The sequence below is a fragment of the Homo sapiens genome, chromosome 12 (assembly GCF_000001405.40).
Source record: "Homo sapiens chromosome 12, GRCh38.p14 Primary Assembly".
Classification (NCBI taxonomy): Eukaryota; Metazoa; Chordata; class Mammalia; order Primates; family Hominidae; genus Homo; species Homo sapiens.
The window spans coordinates 110,272,194-110,288,280 of NC_000012.12; the positions used below are offsets into that span (position 1 = coordinate 110,272,194).

A 16,087-nucleotide genomic window follows, 5' to 3' on the forward strand; every position below is an offset into this window, starting at 1 on the left:
AATCACAGCACTTTGGGAGGCCGAGGCAGGTGGATCATTTGAGGTCATGCGTTCAAGACCAGCCTGGCCAACACAGTGAAATCCCGTCTCTACCAAAAAATACAAAATTTAGTCAGGCGTGGTGGAGCATGCCTGTAATCCCAGCTACTTGTGAGGCTGAGGCAGGAGAATAGCTTGAACACAGGAGGTGAGGTTGCAGTGAGCCGAGATCGCGCCACTGCACTCCAGCCTGGGTGACAGAGTGAGACCCTGTCTCAAACAAAAAAACAAACAAACAAACCCATTATGTAGGTGGAGTTTAAAGCAGTGGGACTAAGGAAAGATTACAGATAGGAAGACTGCCGGGTCCTAAGCCCTGGGACACTCCAGGTTTAAAGTTAAGTAGAAGAGTCTGGACACAGTGGCTCACATCTATAATCCCAGCACTTTGGGAGGCCGAGGTGGGAAGATCGCTTAAGCCCAGGAGGAGTTCAAGACCAGTCTGGGCAACATGGCAAGACCCCCCATCTCTACAAAAAATAAAACAATTTAGCAGGGTATGGTGGCACATGCCTGTAGTCCCAGCTACTCGGGAGGCTGAGGTGGGAGGATCGCTTGATCCTGAGAGGTTGAGATTGCAGTGAGCCATGATGGTGCCACTGTACTCTAGGGCAAAAGAGCGAGACCCCGTCTCAAAAAGAAAAAGAATAAAGTTAAGTAGAAGAGGGGGAGGCACAGAAAAGGAGGTTGAAAACGACCAACCAGAGAAGGGGAAGGAAAACCCAGGTTACTATACTCGAGTGATATAAAGTGCTGTTTGAGGCCAGGCACAGGTGGCTCAGACCTGTAATCCCAGCACTTTGGGAGGCTGAGGTGGGCGAATCACTTGAGGTCAGAAGTTCAAGACCAGCCTGGCCAACATGGTGAAACCCCGTCTCTACTAAAAATACAAAAACTAGCCAGGCATGTTAGTGCACACCTGTAATCCCAGCTACTCAGGAGGCTGAGGCGGGAGAATCACTTGAACTTGGGAGGTGGAGGTTGCAGTGAGCCGAGATCGTGCCACTACACTCCAGCCTGGGTGACAGAGTGAGACCTTGTCTAAAACAAACAAAGTGCAATTTGAGACTTCTGGGGCGCTGATGATGGAAGTGTTGGAGAAGGCTGCTATCATGCAAGACTTCCAAGATGAGATGGAATTTGAGCCTTCATCTTGAAGGGTGATAGAGGTTCACCAGGCAGATCCAAGCAGAAGGAACAGCCTGAGGAGAGGTCCCAAGGAAGGGATAATGAGTCATTGTGTCAGGAGCTTGGAATTGGAGGAGACGTCTTGGTGGATGTGTAGCAGACGACACTGCAAACTACAGTGGAAGAATGTAGGGCATCTCCAAACAGGGTTTTCAGTATTGTGTGCTAGTTGCATCTTTTTTTTTTTTTTTTTGAGGCAGTGTCTCGCTCTGTCACCCAGGCTGGAGTGCAGTGGTGTAATCTCGGCTCACTGCAACCTCTGCCTCCCGGGTTCAAGCAATTCTCCTCACTCAGCCATCCGAGCAGCTGTGATTATAGGCGCACGCCACCACGCTCAACTAATTTTTGTATTTTTAGTAGAGATGGGGTTTTGCTATGTTGACCAAGCTGGTTTTCAACTCCTGGCCTCAAATGATCTGCCCACCTCAGCCTCCCAAAGTGCTGGGATTATAGGAGTGAGCCACCACACCCAGCCCTGTGGTAGTTACCTCTGCTTCCTCCAGACCAGTGAGATCTTTGACTTTCCTCAGTGAAGTGAACATTTGTTGTTTGGCAGATCTAACATTTGCAGCTCTTCTGATAACAGCAGCAGGATTTTCCTTTGAGGCTTTGTTTTCCAGCATGTGTGTCCTGAACTAGCAGCATCAACATCACCGGGGAACTCAGAAATGCAAATTCTTGGGTCCACCCCAGACCTACTGAATTGAGCATTCTGGAGGTAGGCCCCAGCAAAAGGTGTTTTCAGAAGCCCTCCAGGTGATGCTGAGGCATGCGTGTGAAAACCACCACTGTAGGGAACTACTTCTTTCCCTCTCAGTTCGTGCAGTTCAGATGGCACTGACCATAGTCTTTGCTTCCAGGGGTGTGCACAAATCCCAGAGAAAATCTTAGGCCTTTCTCTCCAGCTTAGTGCTCCAAAAGCACTAAACTGGAGAATTAGAAACTGGAGATGCTGGAACCATGTCTGCCACCACCTGGAGAGAGACTGCCTGAGAGTAAAAAGCAAAGGAAAAGCTGGGCGCGGTGGCTCACACCTGTAATCCCAGCACTTTGGGAGGCTGAGGTGGGCGAGTCACCTGAGGTCAGGAGTTCATCACCAGCCTGGCCAACATGGTGAAACCCCGTCTCTACTAAAAATACAAAAATTAGCTGGGCATGGTGATGCATACCTATAATCCCAGCTGCTCAGGAGGCTGAGGCAGGAGAATCGCTTGAACCCAGGAGGTGGAGGTTGCATAAGCCGAGATCGCGCCACTGCACTCCAACCTGGGCGACAGAGCAAGACTCTGTCTCAAAACAAAACAAAACAAAAAAAACAACAAAACAAAACAAAACAAAAACCAAAAGGAGGCCAGGCGCAGTGGCTCATGCCTGTAATCCCAGCACTTTTGGAGGCCGAGGTGGGTGGATCACTTGAAGTCAGGAGTTCAAGACCAGCGTGGCTAACATGGTGAAACCCCATTTCTACTAAAAATAAAAAAAATTAGCTGGGTGTAGTGGTGCACACCTGTAATCCCAGCTACTTGGAATGCTGAGGCAGGAGAGTCACTTGAACCCCGGAGGCGGAGGTTGCAGTGAGCTGAGATCGTGCCATTGCACTCCAGCTTGGGCAACAAGAGGGAAACTCAAAATAAATAAATAAATAAAAAAGGAAAGAGGCAGAGCTAAGAGGTGGAGAGAGATTCTCAGTGACTTTGAGCACCTGGATCAAGCTGTTCTAAATTTGGAGTCTATTCCCTATAAGTCCCTTTTTTATAAGCATAAAATAGTGAGTTGGATTTTTAACCCTCGGCCGTCTAAAGAATGCTTATAATCGTGCGGTGTACAGGGAAGGCAGATTCTGGAAAAGACATTGTGTTAAGTTTGACAAATTCTCAGATATTGAAGTTATAGTTCATGGGCATGTAGAAAAAGTGGTGGTCACTAGGTGCTGGTGTGTGTTCAGTAACACAAGCCATGCCAAAGTGGATGCATTTCTGTGAAAAGAGCACTAGAGTGTGGATTTGGAGCCTGTTACGGACAATGTCTCTGAATCTTCCTCTTTTTTTTTGAGATGGAGTCTCGCCCTGTCACCTAGGCTGGAGTGCAGTGGTGCGATCTCGGCTCACTGCAACCTCTGCCTCCCGGATTCAAGCGATTCTCCTGCCCCAGCCTCCCCAGTAGCTGGGATTATAGGCGCGCGCCATCATGCCTGGCTAATTTTTGTATTTTTAGTAGAGACGGGGTTTCACCATGTTGGTCAGGCTGGTCTCGAACTCTTGACCTCATGCTCTGCCTGCCTTGGCCTCCCACAGTGCTGGGATTACAGGCGTGAACCACTGCGCCCAGCCATTTTTTTTTTTTTTGAGACGTAGTCTCACTCTGTCGCCCAGGTTGGGGTGCAGTGTCACAATCTTGGCTCACTGCAACCTCCACCTCCTGGGTTCAAGCCATTCTCCCTGCCTCTGCCTCTTGAGTAGCTGGGATTACAGGCACCTGCCACCATGCCTGCCTAATTTTTGTATTTTTAGTAGAGATGGGGTTTCACCATGTTGGCCAGGCTGGTTTTGAACTCCTGACCTCAGGTGATCCACCCGCCGTGGCCTCCCAATGTGCTGGGATTACAGGCATAAGCCACCACGCCTGGCCAGTCCTCTCATTAACTTCTTATGGACAAAGTAGAGAAAGGCGGGTGGTAGACTAATGTCTGCCTAATCATCTTAAGTGACTTTATATGACAACTTAAATAATGCAGGCAATTCTCATCATTCTACTCAACAAGTATGTGCCCCAGAATAAGAGATGACAGATGTGACTTGGTTGAACGGCCTTAGTTCTCATTGGTGTCTCAGTGAAAGCATCTGACTGTGCCAGTTCTGATTTTGGTACATAAATGGATGTTTTCATATAACATGACCCTTAGATCAAGCTGACTACATCAGGCACTCAACCAAAAGAAAAATGATCTGTTTCAACACTGTGTAATAAAGTATTATAGAAGATAAGGAGGCAGGGAGTGCCTTATAAGATTTTCACTTTACTGATTTTGGACACTGTAGTCAAGTTGATTTTTATAATAGTTGAACAATTAAATACATTTGATTGGTTATTTTCAATCTGGAATGAGTGTCTAGAAGTTCTACTGGATAGAGACATAGAAGTCATGCTTATCAAATTTGTATGTAACCTGAAGCTGGGACATATAGCTAAAGTATTTGAAAATGAAGATCTCAAAAGACTAGAACAGACCCTAAACATGGGTCTAGAGCATGAGAACATTCAAGTATACACAGAAGTTCAGTGCCTGGGTTAAAAACTATCAACAGTGCAAGTGCACAATGAGATATACCGACTGTAGTTTATATAGAAAGGACTCTCTTTTGAGTTGACTGTTAGCACAAATCTACAGTGTGCAGCGGAAAAGATCCAGCACAAAGGTGGGCATGACAACTCCTCTGCAAGACCATGCCCAGACTTTTTTTTTTTTTTTTTTTTGAGATGGAGTCTTGCTCTGTCGCCCAGGCTGGAGTGCAGTTGCTATTACAGGAGCATGCCACCACACCCAACTAATTTTTGTATTTTTAGCAGAGACGGGGCTTCACCATGTTGGCCAGGCTGGTCTCAAACTCCTGACCTCATGTGGTCCACCCGCTTGGCCCCCCAAAGTGTTGGGATTATAGGTGTGAGCCACCTCACCTGGCCCCATGCCCAGACTTTTGTATTCAGTACTGGGTACCTCTAGGACTGGATGACAAAGTTGCTGAGGGATTACAAACTCATGATCTAGGAAGAAGCCGGGAAGAGACTTTTTTTTTTCCCTAGATGGAGTCTTGCTTTGTCACCCAGGCCAGAGTGCAATGGCACAATCTCGGCTCACTGCAACCCCTGCCTCCCGGGTTCAAGCAATTCTTCCGCCTCAGCCTCCAGAGTAGCTGGGATTACAGGTGCATGCCACCATGCCTGGCTAATTTTTGTATTTTTTTTTTTTAGTAGAGATGGGGTTTCACCATGTTGGCCAGGCTGGTCTCGAACTCCTGACCTTGTGATCTGCCCGCCTTGTCCTCCCAAAGTGCTGGGATTACAGGCGTGAGCCGCCGTGCCCGGCTGAGAAGAGACTTTTTAACACAGTAGATAGCTTGAAATACTCAAAGGGATCTCACACCAAAGAGGGATGAAATTCATTTGGAATGGTTCCAGAGAGCTAAACAAGATCCAATGTATAGATGAAGTTAGCCAATGGGAGGTGGATCCAGCCTAGAATGAGACTGCTTTAATGATTAGAGCTGTCCAAATACAGAATGGACTGCCTTTTACAATCTCCACTGCTTTACAAGGAGCTGTAGAGCATTGGGAAGTTGGCTGGGGCCTCTTTTACAAGTCACTTATTTCCACTGTCCATTTCTGTCTAACTTGCTTTTTAAACCAGCTTGCCTTTTAGCAGCTAATGTCCTCCTTTATTAATGCCTTTGAAGTTCTTTAATCAAATCATCCATCTTTCTGAATCACAGTTTCTGTTTTCTCTCCCTGTCCTCAATTGATTGAATGTACCTGCAATCCTTGCTGAAAAATAGAGTATTTCTAAAACCTATTCTTACTTTTAAAAACCCTTCTTAACAAGAAGCAAGTACAACACGATGCATAAAATAAATTAAGCACAAGTTTATTTCTACATGAGAGAAACTAGATATTTCTGCCTTTGGGAGACTGCGTTTCTGATAAATTTTGGCAACCCATCAACAACAGCTTTCAGAGACACCAGCAGGTTGAGGAACCAAGAGCATAATTGTTATGATGATGTCTAAGGGGGCCAATTCTGGGCTTAAAATCACACTGTTTCAGCTTAAGAGAGTATTCCAGCCTCCAGTAAATAGAAAGCTTGCAGAGAACAGTCTAGGAGGGCAATGGCAACGTGGTAACAGTACCAATGTGAACTTGAACCTTCCTTCTTTCTGAGAAACCTGTAATGCTGTCTAGCTTTGTTTTTGTCTGTTTGTTTTAAACTGACTACACTTCACAGTCATTCTCATGAGGCAGGTAGTTCAGAGAGGCCCTCTAGTTTATTTCACAAATTGGAAATCAATGAACTTGAGTTCACTGAAAATTTGCTGAGGCCTTCCTATGGGGGAGGCCCTTTGCAAGTCACTTATGGGCTAGGGATGGTGGGACTAATTCATTCATTCAAACAGCAGGCATTTAATAAATGAGGAGCATAGACTAGGGACTGTTCTTTGTACTGAGGATGGACAAGATGGACAGGCCCTGTTCTTATGGAGCTTCTGTCCTAGAGCTCCATGAGACACTAGGAGACAAGCAGTTAACAGCTAAACCAAAATACAACATCACAAGTAAGCACTGTGAAGAAAACTGACCGGGCACGGTGGCTCATGCCTGTAATCCCAGCACTTTGGGAGGCCGAGGCAGGCAGATTACCTGAGGTCAGTTCGAAGCCAGCCTGGCCAACATGGTGAAACCCCATCTCTACTAAAAATACAAAAATGAGGCAGGCATGGTGGCGTGCACCTGTAGTCCCAGCTACTTGGGAGGCGGAGGCACAAGAACTGCTTGAACCCAGGAGGCCGAGGTTGTGGTGAGCTGGGATTGTGCTGCTGTCCTCCAGCCTGGGTGACAGAGAGAGACTCTGTCTCAAAGGAAAAAAAAGAAGAAAAGAAAACTGAAAAATGTGATGGAAGGTGAATTGCCGAGAGTAGCCACTTTTTAATTTATTTATTATTTAATTTTTTTTTTGAGACAAGGTCTCACTCTGTTGTTGCTCAGGCTGGAGTGCAGTGGCGTGATCACAGATCACTGCAGTCTTGACCTCCTGGGTTCAAGCGATCCTCTCTCTTTAGCCTCCTGAGTAGCTGGGACTAAAGGTTCAGGCCACCACGCCCAGCTAATTTTTTTCTTTTTTTTTTTTAGTAGAGATGGAGTCTCGCTATATTGCCCAGGCTGGTCTCAAACTCCTGGGCTCAAGGGATCCTCCTGCCTCAGCCTCCCAAAATGCTGGGATTACAGACGTGAGCCACTGTGGCTGGGTAGCCACTTTAGACAGCAAAGACATCTCTGAGGAGGGGACATGTAAGCTGCGATCTGAATGGAAAGAGAACGACACAAGTGAAGAAGATCTGTGGGAAGAGCATTCCATACAAAGGCTGAGGTCAGGAACTCCTCCAGAAGCTCATAATTGCACCAGAGGTGCTTACAACCCCAAGCAGTGACAGTGGCACAGAATATTCAACATCAAATGCCTAAGCTAATTTCCAGGCTGAGAAAGGTAAACCATCCTTCTCCTGCCTGCAGTGCTTCTATCGGTCCTGAAAGAGACAGAGGAGGTAAGGGAGAAGAATTGGTACGAAATGGTGCAGAGCTGGTCTCAGAGGGCAACAACAGCCAGCCCTCCATGACCACACTCCCACCGTGCACTCACGTGCCCCTCTTGAAGCGGCTCTGATCCTGTGACCTAACCAGTTTCCACCTGGCTTCTCTCAGTGCGTTGCCATATAGTATAATTTTTTGTTTGTTTGTTTCGTGTAGGGTTTTGTTGGTTCTTTTCCAAGTATCAATCAAAACTACATGCCAACGTCCACTCCTTGGAAATAATTAAATGACATGACGTGCCTGATTTTTTCAGCTGGTGATGCACTGTAATTTGCATCTGCTGAAGGAATTTATCTTAAGTCCTGAAGCCCAGCCACTTGAGACAACTGAGGTGATTTTTCTGCTCTGCTTTTGCTCATGCGGATGGTGCGTTATTGTTAAACACAAAAGTGGACTAATTGCTTCATTCTGCAACCTACTCCGTGAAGAAAGCTGCTCTTCTTTGTGAAGAGAATATGTTCATGTTTTGTTCATGAATTCCATGCAATTTCCCATCCCCTTGTTAAGTAATGTAGCTTCTTTATATTGGCAAAATTCCCTTTATCTTGCTGTGACCTGCGCTTTGTCCTCCCGAGCAGAGCAAATCATCTGTGGTTTAAGAGCAGCTTTGGATTCAAGTCCCCTTTTCTCCTGTCGAGGGAAGTGAGTCTATGAAATGGCCTTCATCTGAAAGCCACAGCGAAGCACCTCCTAGCCCAAGTCTAGCTGCTGTGTGGCAGCTCCAGCGGCGTGAACTGTGACTGCCCTGCAGACACCTATCAAGCGCTGCGTCAGCTATTAATAATAAAATCAACTCTTCTCCCTCCCCCCCGCGAGGGGGGTTCCCTCGTCAGGGCCCAGAACCCGCTGGGGAAGAATCGGGGCTGGCGTGCGAAGGAGCTGGCGGCAGGGGGTGTAGGATGCGGTGTTCCCGAGGCGACAGATGAAGGATTTGGGTTGTGTGGGAAGTGAACTGCGGAATTCCTCCCCTTGGTTTCTGAGGGGGGCTCTGAAGGAGCCAGATTAGGATGCAGAGCGCAGCCCGGGCGACCGAGGGCGAGGAGGCGAGCCAAGGACATCAGCCCGAGGGCGCCTCGAGACGCCCCGCGTGGACCGCGCTCCCAGCTCCTCGGCCTCGCCTTCCAACCATCCGCCCACCGGCCCCAGAGCAGCGTGCCCACTGTGAGCGCCCCACCCTGCGTCTGCAGGTGGGTGGGTCAGAGAACCGCAGGCACAGAAGAGGGTACCCAGCTTCCCCTCCGCCAGCCCCGCGACCGCGGCGCGCGCGGCCTCGATCCGGGTTCCTAGGGGCGGCGCGCGGGAGGGGGCGGGGCCTGCGCGGCAGCGTGGGCGCCAGGCGCGCGGGAGGAGGGAGCCGGGAGGAGGGGGCGGGGCCGCGCCGCCCGCGCCGCGCTGGGCGCTCTCGGCCAATGAGCGGCGTCCACATGCCGCGGCGGCGGCGAAAGGGGAGGCAGCGGCCGATAAATGCTATTAGAGCAGCCGCCGCGGAGCCGTCCCCGACGCCACCTCCTTTTCCTTCGCCGCAGTTTCCTCCGCCGCTGTCGGGCGTGCGGCGCTGAGGGACCCGGGCGAGCGCGCCGCGCACCGCCCCGCCGGCTCGCCTCCCTCGCCGCGTTCCGCCCTCAGTGGTCTGCCGGGCGCCCCCTCCTCCGGCCCGGGCGGGGCCTCTGATCGCCTCAAGAGAGCGGGGAGGGGGCTCGGGGGCCGCGGCCTGCCCTCCCGGCGGGCGGCTGAGGGCGAGGGAGGCCCTCCCTTCTGGCGAGGGGAGGGAGGGTGGGTCAGGAGCCCCCAACCCGCCCTGCGGAGCTCGGGGCCGCGCGAGGGGCGGTTGTCTGGGGGAGGGGGCGCGGGGTGATTCAGCGCCCGGCGAGGCGGAAGCGGCCGCAAGAGGAGGAGGGGAGAGCCCGTCCGCGCCTGGGCTCCCGGGGTGGCACGAGCCCGCGGCCGGAGTGCGAGGCGGAGGCGAGGAGGCCGCGGGGACGGGAGGCGAGGCCGGCCGGGCCCCCGAAGCCATGGAGAACGCGCACACCAAGACGGTGGAGGAGGTGCTGGGCCACTTCGGCGTCAACGAGAGTACGGGGCTGAGCCTGGAACAGGTCAAGAAGCTTAAGGAGAGATGGGGCTCCAACGGTAGGTGCAGGGCGCTCCGCTGCAGGGGCCCGGCGCGGCCGGGAGAGCCAGGGAAGATGGCTGACCGGGCTCCACCTCGTGGGCTTCGGCTCCGCGCCCGCCGACAGCTGCGGGCGGAGGGTCGGGCCAGCGCGCCGGCCCCGCGGGAGAGAAAGGGGCTGCGGTCCTCGCCTCGCCTTCCCTGGACCTCTTCGCTTCTCGGGCCCTCGACCTTTTCGGCGCGCAAGGCTCGGAGGCTTCTCTCCAGCAGCAGCCGGCCCCGGTGGAGGGAGGGACGTGGCTTCTGCAGCTAGGTTGAGCCCGGCAAGACGTTTTCTCGTCCCCTGCCGATTTATGAGGAGTCGAGGTCGTTGGAAGGCCTCTGACCGTTCTTGTCCTACCCAAAGTTACACATCTGGCAGAAGTGATGACATCGCTGAAACCACTCCTAGGTTCAGGAGCCCGAAGTGATTTCACGCTTAGGGCTAGACCTCAGGCCATTGATTACAAAGAGTGCATGCTTCCTTGAGATATCTTCGTGGTATGCCCTCTGCTAAAAAAATCGGATATTCTTATAGCTAGGTCTGTGTTTTAAAGATATTGATGCTTAGAATTGTAGCAGTTCTTTTTAGAAAAACGAAGTGCTAAAATGTCTCTCTCTTTTTTTTTTTAACCTCCCTCTTGACACATTGCTTGACGAATTTCTACATTCTACAGAGTTACCGGCTGAAGAAGGTAATCTTAACATGCTGTTTCTGTTTTTTTTCCTCTGTTGGTGTGCTGATGGTAAGATGACAGTTAAAACACATGTGTTTGTTTCTTACAGGAAAAACCTTGCTGGAACTTGTGATTGAGCAGTTTGAAGACTTGCTAGTTAGGATTTTATTACTGGCAGCATGTATATCTTTTGTAAGTATAAAAAAATTTATTTTCTTTCCCCCCAAAAGCTGAAAGTATTCCATAGATAAATCAGAAAACAAATGATGTCCATTGGGTGAAAACATATTTGGAGTTGCAAGCTGTGTCTCTATGTTTAAAAACAATCTGGGCATTTTAAAATTACAAAACAAAACACTTGAAGCCATTGGTATTCAGAAAATAGATGCCTGACATTTACAGTGTGGTTAGGAGTTGTCCCAGAGTGTGGCATGGTCTTAGAAATTCTTGTGGTTTATCAGCTTTTAATATCAAAAAGTTCTTTTCTGGGAAGCCTTTAATGTTTTGGGTTCTTCCATTGTTATCGTGTTGTAAGATCATACTAAGATGATGTTGGACTCTTTGTAGTCTGTAAATAGAACTTACAAAAGGAATATTCCAGTTGCTTTCCCTTCCTGGTAATGGCAAGGTGACAGTTGTTCCTGACGGTGACAAGAATGATGACGGCTGTGATGGCACCCTTGTTGACCAAATTTGGTCACTGACCTTTAGGGTGGTATATTTATCTAAATTGGACCCCTGTCTTAAGTGATTCTTAGGTTGAAAGAACAAGGTTTAGTACAGTTGGTTCTAGATCTTAAAGGAAAAAAACCAGCATGGTGTTTTTTCTTGTTCTGTGTGTGCTTACCCACTTGAGTGCTATATGGTTGCTAAGAAACTAGTGAAATGCAAAGAACTACAGCAGAAAAAGGGTGTTGGGGTGGCAAGTATATTTCTAGGTTTTTAACTTTTTTTTAAATGTTCGGTATTAATTTTTTGTTGCATTTTTTTTCTTGGGCAGTAGATTGCTTGCTAGTTTTCCTAAAAATGGTCAGGAATAGGACACAGATGTTCCTAATTCTAATAGCATGAGATGCCTTTTATTCTTGAATTACGTTATTCTTACAAAAACCACGATAAGTGAAATTCACCCAGTGCAGTACTTCTTTCTAGTTAAAACAAAATTGACAAAACTTCACGGTTTCAGTTCTTGTACATATATGTATGCAGGTCCCAGGGATCAGCCTCAGTCTTTGTGAGAACCATACCATAGAGGGCTATTTTGAGAACGAAATAAACAAAGCAGTGGGCATTTATTTAGTTCAGATGAGGAAAAGATTAAATTTATACCCATCTTTTAAGTAGATAGTGGCAGCAGTAAATAAATTTGTGGAATAATTTTTACATAAATCCTGCTATGATACTTTATTATGCCATATTAGCCAAGTATTGTGTAGCCATTAATAATTCAGTCCCCAAGAACCTTTTCTGTGGTTTTCATTGATTAAAATGGGGACTTACATAGCAAACCATTCAGCATTCTGAGTCAGTCACAATGTACCTCTGATAAAATGTTTCTTCTTGATTGATTAAAAAATTTTCCCCCAGAAAATGGCTGCTGTTTTACCAATTAAGGGAAATGAGTAGACCCGATTAACTATAGTTTATCAATACATTGTCATGGGGCAAAATAAATGATACATTTGGAGCTAGTGTAAGATTTGTATTTAACTGGGTACATAATAGCGTTGGCAGTTAAATAATGGGGTCCGATAAGGTCATTGGGAACTTCTTAAAAATTAATCAGCTGACTACAAGCCAGAAGCAAAATACATTTTTACTGAATTCTCTGTGTTACAAGTTGAAGCAGTGTGGGAAACCATGCCACTGGTGTTACTATTGGGGTTGCACTGGGTCTGTTTTTTGAGTGGCCAGTTTGAGTGACTTTATATTAGCATTTTAAATTAATGATGTGTGTGGGTTTTGTTTGTTCATTTTTTACTTTGAAGTAATTAGAGGCTTATAGTTTGTAAGCATTTCAAGCAGGTTTTTAAATAAATGCTTTAATTTTTTTTATAAGATAGGACCTTGGCTTTGTGGAGCATTATAGAGCTATATTTTGGAGTTGAAATTTGAGCTCCTTTTTGGTAACTGTGGAGTTACTGCTCAGGAAATGAACTGTGTTACATTTTTATTTTATGAGTTGGTAAATAGCAAAAGAATAAGTGTTTAGGGAGTACTTCTATAGAATTAATTTGCTTTGGTTTGTTTGATCAAGGAATTGCAGATATAAGACCTGTTGTGTTGATTTTCTTCATGTGGGGTTGGGTACTGCTGCTGCATTGTCTTTAGTGTTTCATTCCTCCTGTCTGTATCTTTTAAAAGAAAGAGCACTGACTCTCTTTTTGTGTCAGTTTATTCCTATTGATGTAACAGAAAAAACATGGTAGAATATTCAGGTTTTTTTGGAGAAGTGACTAGGCGATTCTTATATACATCATGCGTCATCAAGTCATGCTTAAATTAAAAAGAATATTAGTGACTTACTTCAAATATCAAACTAAGTAGTAAACTGTTAACTATAGTTAATATTTTGCTGTGGCATAGAATAGGAAGCTATGCTTGTGACCTGTAGGGATCTAGTTTAATTTGTAATATTGGCCAAAGTGTTTTTTTGAAACGGTCACTTGGATTGAAAGAAATAAGCTTCATCTTCCAGTGCATATGAACATTAGAAATTGCTTAATTTGACACTGAAGACCCCCCCTCTATCATTCACTTTATCTTTTCATTCTCTTCTTGATTACCAACTTTGTTCTAAATGTAACACATCGTATGGTTGCTTAACTGATGCCTGCCCTTTCTTCTCTTTTCCTGCTTTGTTAAGATATTTATTGAGCACCTGTCACAGACACTGGGGATACAGTAGTGAATAAAACAGACAGAGACCCTTACCTGGAGGATAATACTGCTGAGAAAAATAAAGCAAGGGGGTTTGGATATCAGAGTATGTGAAAGGGGGAACAGTTTTCAAATTGGGTGGTCCGGAAAGTTCTTGAGGAAGGTGACATTTGCGAAAAGATCTGAAGGAGGTGGGCATTAGGGCCATGTTGGTCTCCCATCTGTCTAAATCATAAAGTCATAATTAATATGGTAATAATTTGCATAGGTTTCTCTACCTTCCACCGTCGTTTCCCATGTCAGCTACTTAGATTGACCCTAAAATGCTAATAAAACTTTCTAGACTGTGGTACTTCTCAACCTTTAGGTTACATTTGACCATTTGCATGTGTGTGTCTCTTTTCTTCCTACTAGACCCCCTTGAGTTAGTGCTTTTTTTTTTTTTTTTTTTTAAATGTAGATGGAGTCTCACTCTTGTTGCCCGGGCTGGAGCGCAGTGGTGCAATCTCGGCTCACTGCAACCTCCACCTCCTGGGTTCAAGTGATTCTCCTGCCTCAGCCTCCTGAGTAGCTGGGATTACAGATGTCCACCACCACGCCCGGCTAATTTTTGTATTTTTAGTAGAGATGGGGTTTACCTTTGTTGGCCAGGCTGGTCTCGAACTCCTGACCTCAGGTTATCACCTGCCTCAGCCTCCCAAAGTGCTGGGATTACAGGCATGAACCACTGCGCCTGGCCTAAGTTAGTGCTTTTGATGTCACAAAAACTTGGGTGAGTTTGTTTCAGTAGAATTTTCTGAAAATACATGAGATCTTTTTACTGTAGTTTCTCAGAAGAGAATACTCAAAGCATTTGATACTGGATTTGTAGTGATTTTAATTTTCTTCTGTATCTTTTAATTTTTGATTTTAAAAATGGGATAAGAAGGGCAAATTACTGATTGGTTTAACTAGTTTATTCAGAGCTTTTCTTAAAATAATGACTTGAAAGGTGGATTTAATAGAGTACTTTTTAAAAAGATTGTTTTCTCATGCCTGAAAGCATTGAATGTTTTTACATAGCTTTATATCTGGATCAGAAGGGAACGAGTTCTAATTCATGCTTTTTTTTCCGTTTTATTAATGACTGAAAGTCCTCCCCCAGAAATTATCGTAACGTTTATTGGTAATTCTCTGTATCATTCTCGAAATGTTTAATTTCCATTTCCTCTTTATTTAAAAAAAAAAAAAAACTTGATGTAAATTTCTTCATTTATTGAGCAATTGTTTGAGGGCCCAAAGGCACAGTGCAAGTTTCTGAGAATACTAGGAGCAAAATGTGCTTATGATCTTTTTAAGCACTTTTTTCTTTCGTTTTCTTTTTATGATACTAAGAGCTCTTCCTATTATCACAGTGTATAGATATCTGAGTCACAATATCATGACTGTCTCCCAGTTTACAGCAGAACGTGCTTTTTACCTTGGATTAAAATTTGCTTTATTTGGCCGGGTGCAGTGAGTGGCTCATGCCTGTAATCCCAGCACTTTGAGAGGCCGAGGTGGGTGGATCATTTGAGGTCAGGAGTTCGAGACCAGCCTGGCCAACATGGTGAAACCCCACCTGTACTAAAAATACAAAAATTAGCCAGGCGTGGTGGTGGGTCCCTGTAATCCCAGCTACTCAGGAGGCTGAGGCAGGAGAATCGCTTGAACCCGGGAGGCGGATGTTGCAGTGAGCCGAGATTGCGCCACTGCACTCCAGCCTGAGTGACAAAGTGAGACTCCGTCTCAAAAAAAAATTTTTTTTTTGCTTTAGTATACTTATCAGAAGTATAATGCAGTACAGAGTGTTGTACAGTATTTCAGTGCTGTACAGAGATTAATCTTGTGGATAATAATTGGGAGATACTCTATCCCTACTCTATTTTTAACAGTTTAATGTAGTTGAGTGTTCATTAGCAAGTGGTTACTTTGAATAATACTGGCACATTTGAAGCATTGAACTTGTTTGATAATGTATGTCCCAGAAGACAGGTATTATTGTATTTAGCACAAAGCAAAGGGAAGAAGAAACACTGTTTATGTCCAAAACTATGGGGCAGTGGTCTTCTCTTTTACTTTTCTTTGCTGCTGTTCATGAAGCTTGTTACCTTTTCGCTGTCTTTTTTTTGAGACGGAGTCCTGCTCTGTCGCCCAGATTGGAGTGCAGTGGTGCGATCTTGGCTCACTGCAACCTCCACCTCCCAGCTTCAAGTGATTCTCCTGCCTCAGCCTCCCGAGTAGCTGGGATTACAGGCATGCACCACCACGCCCGGGTAATTTTTTGTATTTTTAGTAGAGACGGGGTTTCTCCATGTTGACCAGGCTGGTCTCCAGCTCCTGGCCTTAGGTGATCCGCCTGCCTCAGCTTCCCAAAGTGCTGGGATTACAGACATGAGCCACCTCACCCAGCCCAGATAATCCTTTTACACACTGTTTAAAATTTTCAATTTTCCTGGAGATAGGGTCTCCTGTCGCCCAGCGGGTAAATGCAGTGGTGCGATTATAGCTCACTGCAGCCTCAGACACCTGGGCTGAAGCCTGATTCTTGAGCCTCCCAAGTAGCTGGGACTATAGGTGTGAGCCATCATGCTTTGCCCTTTTTTTTTTTTTTTTTTTTTTTTGAGGCAGAGTCTCACTCTGTCACCTAGGCTGGAATGTAGTAGTGGCACGATCATAGCTCATTATAACCTCAAACTCCTGGTTTCAAGCAATCTTCCCGAGTAGTCAGGACTACAGGCATGCCCTGCCATGCCCAACTAATTAAAAAAAAATTTTT

General features: G+C 46.3%; 1 protein-coding gene across 6 annotated transcripts in view, besides 5 other annotated features; it reads left to right on the plus strand.

Moving 5' to 3' along the window:
* ATP2A2 (ATPase sarcoplasmic/endoplasmic reticulum Ca2+ transporting 2) overlaps positions 8,423-16,087 on the plus strand; it is a 70,478-nt gene continuing 62,813 nt past the window's right edge. For 5 of the 6 annotated variants that reach the window (NM_170665.4, XM_011538402.4, NM_001413014.1 and 2 more), the window contains exons 1-3: positions 9,054-9,714; positions 10,411-10,428; positions 10,520-10,602. In NM_170665.4, coding sequence (NP_733765.1) covers positions 9,597-9,714; positions 10,411-10,428; positions 10,520-10,602 — 219 coding nt within the window. In that variant the 5' untranslated portion in view covers positions 9,054-9,596. Of the gene's footprint in view, positions 8,772-9,053; positions 9,715-10,410; positions 10,429-10,519; positions 10,603-16,087 lie in introns of those variants that run through there. The other variant, NM_001413015.1, reaches the window with a different exon arrangement.
* Positions 8,562-8,631: an enhancer, noted in NCBI's record as "active region_6998". NCBI's record gives its function as "activates an Ori minimal core promoter by ATAC-STARR-seq in GM12878 lymphoblastoid cells {active_cell/tissue: GM12878}" and the evidence as "EXISTENCE:reporter gene assay evidence [ECO:0000049][PMID:35858748]".
* Positions 8,722-9,321: a silencer, noted in NCBI's record as "silent region_4854". NCBI's record gives its function as "represses an Ori minimal core promoter by ATAC-STARR-seq in GM12878 lymphoblastoid cells {active_cell/tissue: GM12878}" and the evidence as "EXISTENCE:reporter gene assay evidence [ECO:0000049][PMID:35858748]".
* Positions 9,412-9,921: a silencer, noted in NCBI's record as "silent region_4855". NCBI's record gives its function as "represses an Ori minimal core promoter by ATAC-STARR-seq in GM12878 lymphoblastoid cells {active_cell/tissue: GM12878}" and the evidence as "EXISTENCE:reporter gene assay evidence [ECO:0000049][PMID:35858748]".
* Positions 9,412-10,503: a biological region, named in NCBI's record as "H3K27ac hESC enhancer GRCh37_chr12:110719747-110720501".
* Positions 9,749-10,503: an enhancer, noted in NCBI's record as "H3K27ac hESC enhancer chr12:110719747-110720501 (GRCh37/hg19 assembly coordinates)". NCBI's record gives its function as "activates a minimal SCP1, AML or CMV promoter by ChIP-STARR-seq in primed H9 embryonic stem cells {active_cell/tissue: H9 hESC(primed)}" and the evidence as "EXISTENCE:reporter gene assay evidence [ECO:0000049][PMID:30033119]".